Source organism: Homo sapiens, chromosome 1 (genome assembly GCF_000001405.40).
Source record: "Homo sapiens chromosome 1, GRCh38.p14 Primary Assembly".
NCBI classification, from domain to species: Eukaryota; Metazoa; Chordata; class Mammalia; order Primates; family Hominidae; genus Homo; species Homo sapiens.
In genome coordinates, this window is record NC_000001.11 from 172,066,818 (window position 1) to 172,081,541 (window position 14,724).

The 14,724-nt window shown below is 40.0% G+C and overlaps 1 protein-coding gene across 25 annotated transcripts in view; it reads left to right on the top strand.

Moving 5' to 3' along the window:
- Window positions 1-14,724, top strand: part of DNM3 (dynamin 3) — a 576,969-nt gene that overhangs the window by 225,320 nt on the left and 336,925 nt on the right. For all 25 annotated transcript variants that reach the window (NR_146559.2, XM_017000979.2, NM_001350206.2 and 22 more), the window contains exon 11: window positions 2,002-2,088. Coding sequence is in view for 24 of the 25 variants with exons in the window: in XM_017000979.2 (XP_016856468.1) it covers window positions 2,002-2,088 (87 nt within the window). In the remaining variant the exon portion in view is untranslated. The remainder of the gene's footprint in view (window positions 1-2,001; window positions 2,089-14,724) is intronic.

Consider the following 14,724-nt stretch of genomic DNA (forward strand, 5'->3'; position numbering starts at 1 on the left):
CAGATACTAGGTAGTTTATAGTTTGTTTATCTTATTGTTGCTTTTCCAACTAATGCTGTGATGAATGTCCTTATCATTGTAGTTCAGAATTCTGTGAGGTTATTAGGTTGAGATCTCTCTCTCTGTCTCTGTGTTTGTGTGTGTGTGTGTGTGTGTGTTTGTGTGTGTGTGCGCGCGTGCAAGACTTTTGATACATAATGTCAAATTGCTTTCCAGAAAGATTTCTCTTCTTGACACCCCTCAGCAAGTTTAAATTGTGCTAATCTCAGTATACCCTCACCTGTAGTAAGTCTTATAAAAAAATAGCAATTTGCCAATATAATAGTTATTTCTTTTCTTTGCATTAGATCACTTGTACAGTTTGTTTTTCCTTCTGCTTATTGACTATTAAGTCTTTTACAAATTAAATCATATTCTTTGCCTATTTTATTGAGCTATCTGTTAATCTTATTAATTTGCAAGCACTTTAAAAATCATCATTGGAATTAATATTTTGCCTGGCCTAAGTCATGAATGTGCCCACTTTTCTCCATTTCCATTGCTGTCATCCCAGTAGAAGCCACCATTATTTCCATTCCATCTGAATTGCTTCAGTAGCCTAAATTCCTGATAGAATTGCAAGGATCTGCTTGATGTGGCCCCTCTCTACTTTTCTAGCTTTGTCTGAGGATCATACTCCTCAGTTTCTGCACGGACTTTCTTTTACTTTTATCGCCACTAATTGCCCCCACTTCCACCATGCCTTCACACATGTTCCTGTTCCTGGCAAGCTTCATCTTCTCCACGGCCATTCTCACACACCTTTGCCTGTCTAAGTCTTCCTTCTGGATTAGGGCTCCTTAAACATTTTCATAGCATCCCATTCTCTTTCTTCCTTATATTGAAAACAACTGAATTAAGGTATTCACTTTTGCAAACTATGTTTTGAACAATTACCTGCATAATTTAGATGGGGTTAAGTGATTGACATACACAATTTCCATAGTTTTGCAAAAAAAATGTACATATACACATATATTTTCTGTGGGGGAGAATTTAAAAAGTTAAAGGAGTCTCTTTGTGCTTCATGGGATGAATCATGCTCGAAGAGTAATGGACAAGACCATGGGCTCTGGAGTCCTAGGACTTAGGTTGGAATCCTGAACCAACCATTTTTGAGCTGTTTAGTCATGGGCATGAGTTACTTAACCTCTCTGTGCTTCACTTTTCTCCTCTATTAAATGGGGTTGGCCGGGCGTGGTGGCTCACGCCTGTAATCCCAGCACTTTGGGAGACCAAGGCAGGTGGATCACCTGAGGTCAGAAGTTAGAGACCAGCCTGGCCAACATGGTGAAACCCTGTCTTTACTAAAAATACAAAAATTAGCTGAGCTTGGTGGCACGTGCCTGTAATCCCAGCTACTCGGGAGGCTGAGACAGGAGAATCGCTTGAACCCAGGAGGCAGAGGTTGCAGTGAGCTGAGATTGCGCCATTGCACTCCAGCCTGGGTGACAAGAGCAAAACTCTGTCTCAAAATAAATAAATAAATAAAATAAAAAAGAAATGAGGTTAATAATTATATCTGTCTTTTCTGATTGCTGTGAATAGTGAAAGAGGTAATTCATGAAGTTCTTAGCGCCTGACACGTGGTAGACACTATATAAAATGTTAGTCATTATCCTTTTCTTTGTCCTGTTTTCCGACTTCTTCATCTTTGAATTTTATTAAGTGCCAACTCAGCAGGAGCACAGTGCTAGATGGTATCTAGGGTTCTGCTTTCTTCCTAAGGAATTGCTCTGCTGGTTTTGAAGTGTTTCCTCAACATAACAAGGTTACTTCTGATGATAGTTTGTGAAGCCTCTCCCATCACCTTGACATCCTTCTTTAGGAGTTGATGATATTTCATTTTTGCTTCCAGAATGGCAATGAATATCTTCTGTAAAATAACATAATTTATCTCTGCTTCTTTTTTGGTAGTGTAACTTTTTGAGTATTAATACTCAGATCTGCTTTTCTTGACAGCTGGCAAACTTCCCCAGACTCTGCGAGGAAACGGAAAGGATTGTTGCTAACCACATTCGTGAGCGAGAAGGGAAGACAAAGGACCAGGTAAAGAGAGGTCTTCCCTGGTGGGCAGGGAGATTGTGGGAGGTCGAAGGTCTCTGCAAGGTTGTCTGGTAGTTCCCAACAGTCAGCCTGTCGCTTAAAGGAAAAAAAAATAGTGGAACACAACTACATTATGTTTATTTTTACTTATTTATGAATTATACACATACTATATTCATATCTTGTTTATGTTAAAAATATGAGCAAATAAAAAGACTTCATTCAGAAGAATGAGATGCAAAAGCAGTAACAGGAGTTTCATTATTTTTTTTCTCAATGCTCCATGGATCATGCATACATCCTACTTTGAAAACCACTAATCCAGAAACATACCACATTTTCTCTTTAAGACAGAGGTTCTTAACTTTTATTGGGCCCACAGATGGACTCCAGAAGATTCACAAACTCCTAAAACATTATGCAAAATGCTCAGTGTTTTCATTTTTTTCTGAGGAGAGAGTGGACCTAGATTTTCATCAGCTTATCCATACAACCTATGATTGAAAAAAAAATTGAGAACTACTCTTTTAAACATTTCTATTTTGTGAATGTATGTGGTTTGTAAGGAGTGACCCTGAAATTGTTTTCTAATCCTAGCTTTGTAATTTGGAAAGATTATTTTCAAGTGAGGATAATTCATTTAAAAAAGTAAAGGACTACGTGGAAAGAATAAAAATCTTCTTAGGTTTAAATGGATTTTTCTTAGTTACTTATAAAATATTATAACAGGAAATACAAATGGTTTTACATACCCTTGAATTCCATGACACAGCTGCACGTGTGATGTTGTGGAGAGAACACTGGACTTAGGCCATGTGCTCGCCACAAAATAACATCATGTTCTTGTGTAAATCACTTCTTTGGACTGTTGTTTTCTCATGTACAGCATTAATATATTGGTCTATATGCTCTCTGAAAGCCTGTGTAAGTTAGTATTACAGGATTTTGTGATTCTCAGATGAGTGGGAAGGAGGTGAGGGAGAAATGGGGAAAAGGAAGAAGACAAAATAAAAGAGAGAGGAAAAAACCACAGGGAGAGACACACACAGCACACAGAGTGTGCGTGGGGAAGAGGAGCAGGTGGAGGAGAAAGGAGAAAAGGAAGGACAGAGGGATGGAGACCCAGCAGATTGGGACATTCGTGAGTGATTCCAGTAACCACCTTGTCTCTGCTTGAGCTGTGGATTCATTGTCACTACTTTTTATCATTGTGTTTTGAAAGTTAATTAATCACCATTTATAGTTTTCACTTGTTTACCAACTTTCACAGTCTTGGATAGCTGCAATAGCCAAAAGAGGAGAAAACAGGCTTTGTGATTCAGTTGAGATGAACAAATCAGTATTAACTCCTGAGTCAGTGAAATCAAGCCTAGAGCCAGATATGGAGCCCTAGGGCCAGAGGTTCTCCCTAATGTCTAATGTCTTGGCCCCTCCTGGGCTGAGAAAACTTAAGTTCTTAAGAATCAGCTGTACTCCTGACCTTAAGTAAATAAGCTAACTGTTTTAATTTAGTGTTTTCATCTATAATATTCAAATGATAATAAATCCTACTTAACTCTTTAGGATCCGCTGTCAAAATAATATTGGAGAAAATATAGGATAATTATTTAAAGCATTTTAAATATTTGTAATCATATCTATGTCAGTTGCTAGCTTCTTCATATTTCAGAGTTTTTGTTTTAGTAAAATGGCATGTTCAAACTTCACCATGTTGTTAAGATTGTGGGCTCTGGGCTCAGACTACCTGAATTTGAATTTCAGCTCTGTTGTTAACATTTTGTGTAACTTGTGACAAGTTATTTGACATCTTTACACTTCAATTTTCGCATCTTAAAGTGAGACAATAGTGGTAGTTAACTCACAGACATTTTGTGAGGATGGAAAGAAGTAATCAAAATACAAGGCCAGGTGTAGTGGCTCACACCTGTAATCCCAGCACTTTTGGGAGGCTGAGGCAGGCAGATTGCTTGAGGTCAGGAGTTCGAGACCAGGCTGGGAAACATGGTGAAACCCTCTCTCTACAAAATATTAAACAATTAGCTGGGCACGGTGGCCTGCACTACCAGTAGTCCCAGCTACTCGGAGGCTGAGGTGGAAGGATCACATGAGCCTGGGAGGTTGAGGCTGCAGTGAGCTATGGTCATGCCACTGCACTCCAGCCTGGGTGACAGAGCAAGACCCTGCATATATATATATATATATATATATATATATATATCTTAGTTCTTAATTAATTTTAGTTGTTTTTGTTGTTATTCCCAAAGAGCTATGGCACATGGTAGATTCGAGGAAGAATTGCCTTTTCTGATTCCAAGGGAAATTGTTTTCAATCTGCAACTCAGTTACAGTGGTTAATTTATTCCTCAAGTAGGACATAAGGGATGGAGCAGGCATCTCCCTACTAAGTCACAGTCTCAGGTGGTGTGGTCCAACAGTTATCAAGTGCCTGTCAAAGCTGGTAGTGGTCACCTCTAATATGGACTTGTGTGGCATAGCAGAAACATGCCTGGTTTTGGTAGTGTGGACATGTCATTTTGGATGGATCTCGCATTTGAATTCTGGACTCTGCTGCCTGGGACCATGTGGTACTTTTAAAGTATCCAGTTAGACAGAGTGACCCATATCCTCAGGCCTCCGCGCCTGAACAGCTCTGGGACATTCTTGCAGTTTTATTTCTTTCTTTAAAAAGTAGAGTTACTACCAACTTCTGCTCTGGAAGCTTTGTGGGAAAAAAAAATCTTCAAAATTAAGAATATGGAAAGCCATAAATCTGTCTGTAGCTTTTTCTTAAACAAAGGTTTTTTGAATGTCTGAGTGTGCCAGCTGTTAGTCTTGGTGCTTCCATACATGTCACTGCATGTTGAAGCAGTGGACTTTCTGGGCAACTACTGCTACCAGGGGTAGCTTTACTTTGCTTCAACTAAATATTCAATAACTGTGGATGAAAAAGGCAGTGAGAAACTCTGAGAAAGTGAAAAAATGAGAAAAAAATGGATTATTTTTCTTTTCATCCCCCACATGCGACCTGGCTCTTTTCCTAGAGTGAACACAGACTCCCAGTTTCCAGGAATATAATGAGAACAGCCATAGCTTTTATTTTTTTTCCACTTTTTTTCCTATACTACAGTCCAAGTTAATGTGTGTGAACGTCCAAAAGCTATTCATGACAGCCTTTGGCAATGTTGAGAATTATGTAGATATTTTGCTCCTTATAGTGGCAACAATTTATTTGTGTTCAAATATTACAGTTTATTGGTACAAACTTTTGGCCAAATGGATTTGGAGTATACAATTTAACTGAATCTGGCTTTATTGTTGGGAGAAGAGAGGCAAAACTACAACTAATCCAATAATGATCACGCTTCCTAATGTTTCAGTTTTCTTCAAGATATGAAACAAAACTCTGACTGTATGAATTTTTTTCATACAAGTATGATGTTATTGACCTAATAGCCCCCATGCCTTGACTTTATTTTTGGTAGTGGGAGTAGATTTGGAGTGATCTTTTAAATCTTTTTTTGACAGGTCCCCTTGTGACTCTCAGCAAGAATTGGTCAGATGACTGGTTGAGATTAGCCACAAAAACAAAGCCTCCAGCCTATAGCACTGGGTACTGAGTACAAAACAAGAACAAGTGGCCACGTACTAATTATATATATGTATATGTGAGAATAAATCACTCCCTGGAAAGTTAACTGTTCTTGGCCAGGCACGGTGGCTCACGCCTGTAATCCCAGCACTTTGGGAGGCCAAGGTGGGTGGATCACCTGAGGTCAGGAGTTCAAGACCAGCCTGGCCAACATGGTGAAATCCCATCTCTACAAAAGTACAAAAATTAACTGGGCATGATGGCAGGTGCCTGTAATCCCAGCTACTTGGGAGGCTGAGGCGGGAGAATTGTTTGAACCCAGGAGGCGGAGGTTGCAGTGAGCTGAGATTGCACCATTGCACTCCAGCCTGGGCAATAGAGTGAGACTTGTCTCAAAAAACAACAACAAAAAAAAGAGTTAACTGTTCTTCAAGCCTGGTAGATAGTTACACAAATAAGGCCGCAAATGTTTATTGGGCACCTATTGTGTGTATCATGCTAGGCTCTAAGTTCTAAGGATAAAATGGTGAACAAGATAAACATAATCCTAGCTTCTATGGAGTGTACATTCTTGCAGAGAAGAGAAATATTAAAAAAAATTAATAATTAATTACATTTGTAGTAAATGCCACAAATAAGTATAGGGTGCTATATAGATATACACACACATACACAAACACACATATATGTATATATAGTGTATATATACATGTACATATATGTATGTATGTATATATGTGTGTATTTACATGTACATATATACATACATATACGTATATATGCTTATATGTATATATACACATATAAGTATATGTGTACATATTTGAACATATGTGCATATGTGTACATATTTGAACATATATGCATATGTGTACATATTGAAACATATATATGCATATAGGTATATATGTGTATATAGCACCCTATATTTTATAGAATACATAATTTTACGTATACATAATTTTATACATATACATAATTTTCTGTATGTATATAATTATGGCACATAGACTATTTGAGAGTAATAGTACAATCCAACCTGGTCTTGGTTGGGTAGGGGATAAGGATCATGGATGGCTTTCTTGAGGAAGTACCCACTGGGGAGCATTATGTAGAATATGTCTATGAACTGTTGCCATGAGGACTCTGATGCGTTCAAATGCTACCTTCAATGAAGGGAGGCAGCAAACAAATACTCACAATAGTCACCAAAATTTATCCAACAAAGTTGAAGAGCAGAGCTCTGGAGATATTCAGGCAGAGATCTGTAAGCACCGTATTTCTCCCTTTTAGCAAATCTCAGCATCCTGGAAAGAGACAGGATTCAGTTGGGAGAACACAAGGAAACGTAGAAAGAGGAAGTCAGTTTTGAATATCTCTGGTATAATACCTTCTTTTTTGCAGGTTCTGGTTGCTCCACTTCTCTCTTGTTTTCTGTCAGCCTCCTCGTCTCCCCATTGAATACTATTTTTCACAGAGGCACCTCCCAAGTCTCTGACCTAGAGATTATAAGTATCTTATATTTAGAATATTTTCATGTTGCCTGGGACATGTATCCAGTTTACTCCATCACAAATCTTCATTTAATTATCATGATGTTTCAGGCACTGTTCTAGGCACTGGAGATGTAGCAGTGGATACAACAGATGAGGTCTATATAAGAAATATGTAAAAACTTGCCATGTTAGCTAGTGTTAGTGCTACAAAAGAAAATAAGGCAGGGTAACACAATAGAGAGTAACCAGAGTGCTAGTTTAAATAGAATGGGCAGGAAAATCCCTCTGAGGAGTGATATTCTAGCAAAGATCTGACATTATTATTATTATTATTTAAATTTATTATACTTTAAGTTCTGGGATACATGTGCAGAATGTGCAGGTTTGTTACATAGGTATGCACGCGCCATGGTGGTTTGCTGCACCTATCAACCTGTTGTCTATATTAGGTATTTCTCCTAATGCTATCCCTCCCCTAGCCCCCCACCCCCACAACAGGCCCTGGTGTGTGATGCTCCCTTCCCTGTGTCCACGTGTTCTCATTGTTCAACTCCCACTTATGAGTGAGAACATGCAGTGTTTGGTTTTCTGTCCTTGTGATATTTTGCTGAGAATGATGGTTTCCAGCTTCATCCATGTTCCTGCAAAGGACATGAACTCATCCTTTTTTATGGCTACATAGTATTCCATGGTGTATATGAGCCACATTTTCTTTATCCAGTGTATCATTGATGGCATTTTGGTTGGTTCCAAGTCTTTGCTATTATGAACAGTGGTGCAATAAACATGCGTGTACATGTGTCTTTGTAGTAGAATGATTTATAATCCTTTGGGTATGTACCCAGTAATGGGACTGCTGCGTCAAATGGTATTGCTGGTTCTAGGTCATTGAGGAATTGCCACACTGTCTTCCACAATGGTTGAACTAATTTACACTCCCAACAACAGTGTAAAAGCATTCCTATTTCTCCACATCCTCTCCAGCATCTGTTGTTTCCTGACTTTTTAATGATTTCTATTCTAACTGGCGTGAGATGGTATCTCCTCATTGTGGTTTTGATTTGCATTTCTCTAATGACCAGTGATGATGAGCTTTTTTTTCATATGTTTGTTGGCTGCATAAATGTCTTCTTTTGAGAAGTGTCTGTTCATATCCTTTGCCCACTTTTTGATTTTTTTTTTCTGGTAAATTTGTATACGTTCTTTGTAAATTCTGGATATTAGCCCTTTGTCAGATGGGTAGATTGCAAAAATTTTTTTCCCATTCTATAGGTTGCCTTTTCACTCTGATGATAGTTTCTTTTGCTGTGCAGAAGCTCTTTAGTTTAATTAGATCCCATTTGTCAGTTTTGGCTTTTGTTGCCATTGCTTTTGGTGTTTTAGTCATGAAGTCTTTCTCCATGCCTATGTCCTGAATGGTATTGCCTAGGTTTCCTTCTATGGTTTTTATGCTTTTAGGTCTTGTGTTTAAGTCTTTAATCCATCCTGAGTCAATTTTTGTATAAGGTGTAAGGAAGGTGTCCAGTTTCAGTCTTCTGCATATGGCTAGCCAGTTTTCCCAACACCATTTATTAAATAGGGAATCCTTTCCCCATTGCTTTTTTTTGGTCAGATTTGTCAAAGATCAGCTGGTTGTAGATGTGTGGCATTATTTCTGAGGCCTCTGTCCTATTCCATTGGTCTGTATATCGGTTTTGGTACCAGTACCATGCTGTTGTGGTTACCAAAGCTTTGTAGTATAGTTTGAAGTCAGGCAGCATGATGCCTCCAGCTTTGTACTTTTTGCCTACGCTTGTCTTGGCTATATGGGCTCTTTTTTGGTTTCATATGAAATTTAAAGTAGTTTTTTCTAAATCTGTGAAGAAAGTCAATGGTAGCTTGAGGGGATAGCATTGAATCTATAAATTACTTTGGGCAGTATTGCCATTTTTTCAATATTGATTCTTCCTATCCATGAGCAAGGGATGTTTTTTCCAATTGTTTGTGTCCTCTTTGATTTCCTTGAGCAGTGGTTTGTAGTTCTCTTTGAAGAGGTCCTTCACATCCCTTGTAAGTTGTATTCCTAGGTATTTTATTCTCTTTGTAGCAATTGCTAATGGGAGTTCGCTCATGATTTGGCTTTCTGTTTGTCTATTATTGGTGTATAGGAATGCTTGTGATTTTTGCACATTGATTTTTGTATCCTGAGACTTTGCTGAAGTTGCTTATCAGCTTAAGGAGATTTCAGGCTGAGACGATGGGGTTTTCTAAATATACAATCATGTCATCTGCAAAGAGAGACAATTTAACTTCCTCTCTTTTTATTTGAATATCCTTTATTTCTTTCTCTTGCCTGATTGCCCTGGCCAAAACTTCCAATACTATGTTGAACAGGAATGGCGAGAGAGGGAATCCTTGTCTTGTGCCAGTTTTCAAAGGGAATGCTTCCAGCTTTTGCCCATTCAGTATGATATTGGCCATGAGTGTGTCATAAATAGCTCTTATTATTTTGAGATACATTCCATCAATACCTAGTTTATTGAGAGTTTTTAGCATGAAGGGATGTTGAATTTTATTGAAGGCTTTTTCTCCATCTATTGAGATAATCATGTGGTTTACGTCATTGATTCTGTTTATGTGATGGATTACATTTATTGATTTGCATATGTTGAACCTGCCTTGAGTCTCAGGGATGAAGCCGACTTGATCATGGTGGAGAAGCTTTTTGATGTGCTGCCGGATTCAGTTTGCCAGTATTTTATTGAGGATTTTCACATTGATGTTCATCAGGATATTGGCCTGAAATTTTCTTTTTTGTGTGTGTCTCTGCCAGGTTTTGGTATTAGGATGACGTTGGCATCATAAAATGAGTTAGGGAGGAGTTCCTCTTTTTCTATTGTTTGGAATAGTTTCAGAAGGAATAGTACCAGCTCCTCTTTGTACCTATCACAGAATTCAGCTGTGAATCCATCTGGTCCTGGGCTTTTTTTGGTTGGTAGGCTATTAATGACTGCCTCAATTTCAGAACTTGTTATTGGTCTATTCAGGGATTCAACTTCTTCCTGGTTTAGTTTTGGGAGGGTGTATGTATCCAGGAATTTATCCATTTTTTCTAGATTTTCTAGTTTATTTGCATAGAGGTGTTTATAGTATTCTCTGATGGCAGTTTGTATTTCTTTGCCGTCAAAGGTGATATCCCCTTTATCATTTTTTATTGTTTCTATTTGATTCTTCTCTCTTTTCTTCTTTATTAATCTGGCTAGCAGTCTATCTATTTTGTTAATCTTTTCAAAAAAAACAGCTCCTGGATTCATTGATTTTTTGAAGGGGTTTTCGTGTCTCTGTCTCCTTCAGTTCTGATCTGATCTTATTTATTTCTTGTCTTCTGTTACCTTTTGCGTTTGCCCTTGCTTCTCTTGTTCTTTTAATTGTGATGTTAGGGTGTCGATTTTGGATCTTTCCTGCTTTCTCCTGTGGGCATTTAGTGCTATAAATTTCCCTGTAAACACTGCTTTAACTGTGTCGCAGAGATTCTGGTACATTGTGTCTTTGCTCTCATTGGTTGCAAAGAACTTATTTATTTCTGCCTTAATTTCATTATTTACTCAGTGGTCATTCAGGAGCAGGTTGTTCAGTTTCCATGTAGTTGTGCGCTTTTGAGTTTCTTAATCCTGAGTTCTAATTTGATTGCACTGTGGTCTGAGAGACTGTTTGTTATGATTTCTGTTCTTTTGCATTTGCTGAGGAGTGTATTTATGTGGTCAGTTTTGGAATAAGTGTGATGTGGTGCTGAGAAGAATGTGTATTCTGTTGATTTGGGGTGGAGAGTTCTGTAGATGTCTATTAGGTCTGCTTGGTGCAGAGCTGAGTTCAAGTCCTGTATATCCTTGTTAACCTTCTGTCTCGTTGATCTGTCTAATATTGACAGTGGGGTGTTAAAGTCTCCCAGTATTATTGTGTGAAAGTCTAAATCTCTTTGTAGGTCTCTAAGAACTTGCTTTATGAATCTGGGTGCTCCTGTATTGGGTGCATATATATTTAGGATAGTTAGCTCTTCTTGTTGCATTGATCCCTTTACCATTATGTAATTACCTTCTTTGTCTTTTTGGGTCTTTGTTGGTTTTTGTTGTTGTTATTGTTTTTTTAGATGGAGTCTCACTCTGTCACCCAGGCTGCAGTGCAGTGGCGCAATCTCAGCTCACTGCAAGCTCCGCCTCCTGGGTTCACGCCATTCTCCTGCCTCAGCCTCCTGGGTAGCTGGGATTACAGGCACCTGCCACCACACCCAGCTAATTTTTTGTATTTTTAGTAGAGATAGGGTTTCATCATATTAGCCAGGATGTTCTCTATCTCCTCACCTTGTGATCTGCCCGCCTTGGCCTCCCAAAGTGCTGGGATTACAGGCATGAGCCACTGCACCTGGCTGGGTCTTTGTTGGTTTAAAGTAGGTTTTATCAGCAACTAGGATTGCAACCCTGCTTTTTTTTTTTTTCTTTCCATTTGCTTGGTAAATCTTCCTCCATCCCTTTATTTTGAGCCTATGTGTGTCTTTGCATATGAGATGGGTCTCCCGAATTACAGCACACTGATGGGTCTTGACTCTTTATTCAATTTGCCAGTCTGTATCTTTTAATTGGGGCATTTAGTCCATTTACAATTCAGGTTAATATTGTTATGTGTGAATTTGATCCTGTCATTATGATGCTAGCTGGTTATTTTGCCCATTAGTTGATGCAGTTTCTTTATAGTGTCGATTTTTTTTACCGTTTGGTATGTTTTTGCAGTGGCTGGTACTGGTTTTTCTTTTCCATATTTAGTGCTTCATTCAGGAGCTCTTGTAAGGCAGAACTGGTGGTGACAAAATCACTCAGCATTTGCTAGTCTGTAAAAGAGTTTATTTTTCCTTCACTTATGAAGCTTAGTTTAGCTGGACATGAAACTCTGCGTTGAAATTTCTTTAAGAATGTTGAATATTGGCTCTCACTCTCTTCTGGCTTGTAGAGTTTCTGCAGATATATCCGCTGTTAGTCTGATGGGCTTCCCTTTGTGGGTAACCTGGCCTTTCTCTCTTGCTGCCCTTAACATTTTTTCCTTCATTTCAACATTGGTGATTCTGATGATTATGTGTCTTGGGGTTGCTCTTCTTGAGGAGTATCTTTGTGGTGTTTTCTGTATTTCCTGAATTTGAATGTTGGCCTGTCTTGCTAGGTTGGAGTAGTTCTCCTGGATAATATCCTGAAGAGTGTTTTCCAACTTCATTCCATTCTCCCCGTCACTTTCAGGTACACCAATCAAACATAAGTTTGGTCTTTTCACATAGTCCCATATTTCTTGGAGGCTTTGTTCTTTCCTTTTCATTCTTTTTTCTGTAATCTTGTCTCTACACTTTACTACATTAAGTTGATCTTCAATCTCTGATATCCTTTTTTCTGCTTGATCGATTTGCCTATTGATACTTGTGTATGCTTCACAAAGTTCTTGTGCTGTGTTTCTCAGCTCCATCAGGTCATTTATATTCTTCTCTAAACTGGTTATTCTAGTTAGCAATTTCTCTAACATTTTTTCAAGGTTCTTAGCTTCCTTGCATTGGGTTAGAACATGCTCCTTTAGCTTGGAGGAGTTTGTTATTACCCACCTTGTGAAGCCTACTTCTGTCAATTAATCATACTCATTCTTTGTCCAATTTTGTTTTCTTGCTGGCAAGGAGTTGCGATCCTTTGGAAGAGAAGAGGTGTTCTGGTTTTTGGAATTTTCAGCCTTTTTGCACTGTTTTTTTCCTCATCTTTGTGGATTTATCTACCTTTGGTCTTTGATGTTGGTAAGCTTCAGATGGGGTTTCTGTGTGGACACCTTTTTTTGATGCTGATGCTGTTCCTTTCTGTTTGTTAGTTTTCCTTCTAACAGTCAGGCCCCTCTGCTGCAGGTCTGCTGGAGTTTGCTAGAGTTCCACTCCAGACCCTGTTTGCCTGGGTATCACCAGCAGAGGCTGCAGAACAGCAAAGATTGCTGCCTGTTCCTTCCTCTGGAAGCTTTGTCCCAGAGGGGCACCCACCAGATGCCAGCCGGGGGTCTCCTGTATGAGGTGTCTGTTGATCCCTGCTGGAAGGTGTCTCCCAGTCAGGAGGCACGGAAGTCAGGGACCCACTTGAGGAGGCAGTCTGTCCTTTAGCAGAGCTCGAGCACTGTGCTGGGAGATCCGTCATTCTCTTCAGAGCTGGCAGGCAGGAACATTTAAGTCTGCTGAAGTTGCACCCACAGCTGCCCCTTCCCCCAGGTGCTCTGTCCCAGGAAGATGGGAGTTTTATCTATAAGCCCCTGACTGGGGCTGCTGCCTTTCTTTCAGAGATGCCCTGCCCAGAGAGGAGGAACCTAGGGAGGCAGTCTGACTACAGCAGCTTTGTTGAACTGTAGTGGAGTCCTCCCAGGTCAAACTTCCTTGGCAGCTTTGCTTACACTGTGAGGGGAAAACTGCCTACTAAAGCCTCAGTAATGGCAGACGCCCCTCCCCCAACCAAGCTAGAGCATCCTAGGCCAACTTCAGACTGCTGTGCTGGCAGTGAGAATTTCAAGATGGCAGATCTTAGCTTGCTGGGCTTCATGGGGGTGGGATCCGCTGACCTAGACCACTTGGCTCCCTGGCTTCAGCCCCCTTTCCAGGGGAGTGAACGGTTCTGTCTTGCTGGCATTCCAGGTGCCACTGGGGTATGGAAAAAGAACTTCTGCATCTAGCTCAGTGTCTGCCCAAACAGCCCCCCAGTTTTGTGCTTGAAACCCTGGGCCCTTGTGGTGTAGGCACCCAAGGGAATCTCCTGGTCTGCAGGTTGCGAAGACCATGGGAAAAGCGTAGTATCTGGGCCAGAATGCACCATTCCTCACAGCACAGTCAGTCATGGCTTCCCTTGGCTAGGGGAGGGAGTTCCCTGACCCCATAAGCTTCCTGGGTGAGGCAATGCCCCACCCTGCTTCAGCTCACCCTCCATGGGCTGCACCCACTGTCTAACCAGTCCCAGTGAGATGAGCCAGGTACCACAGTTGGAAATGCAGAAATCACCTGCTTCTGTGTTGATCTCACTGGGAGCTGCATACTGGAGCTGTTCCTATTTAGCCATCTTACCAGCCACCACCTATTATTATTAAGAGATGGGGTCTTGCTATGTTGCCCAGACTGAAATGCAGTGGCTATTCACAGGCCTGATGATGACTCACTGCAGCTTTGAACTCCTGGGCTCAAGAGATTCTCTCACCTCAGCCTCCAGAGTAGCTGGGACTATAGGCACACACCACCATGCCCAGCTTCTGATTGATGTTTGGATTCAATGATTTATTTGTATATTGACTTTTTGAGTTGGCTGATCAAATGCTTTCCTGAAATGTGTAAAGTGTCTTGAGATGGTTCTTTAAGCTGCTAAAGATAGAAGAGGAGAGAGAAAAAAAGAGGTGAATTACTAATTTGTGGCTAATATATGATGTCTACAGGAACAGTAAGCTCAGCGCAACCCCTCATGGGACCTCCTGCCACACATCTTATTTGTGCTTGTCCTTCTTTTGAACAGTATGCCTACATTTTAGAGAAAT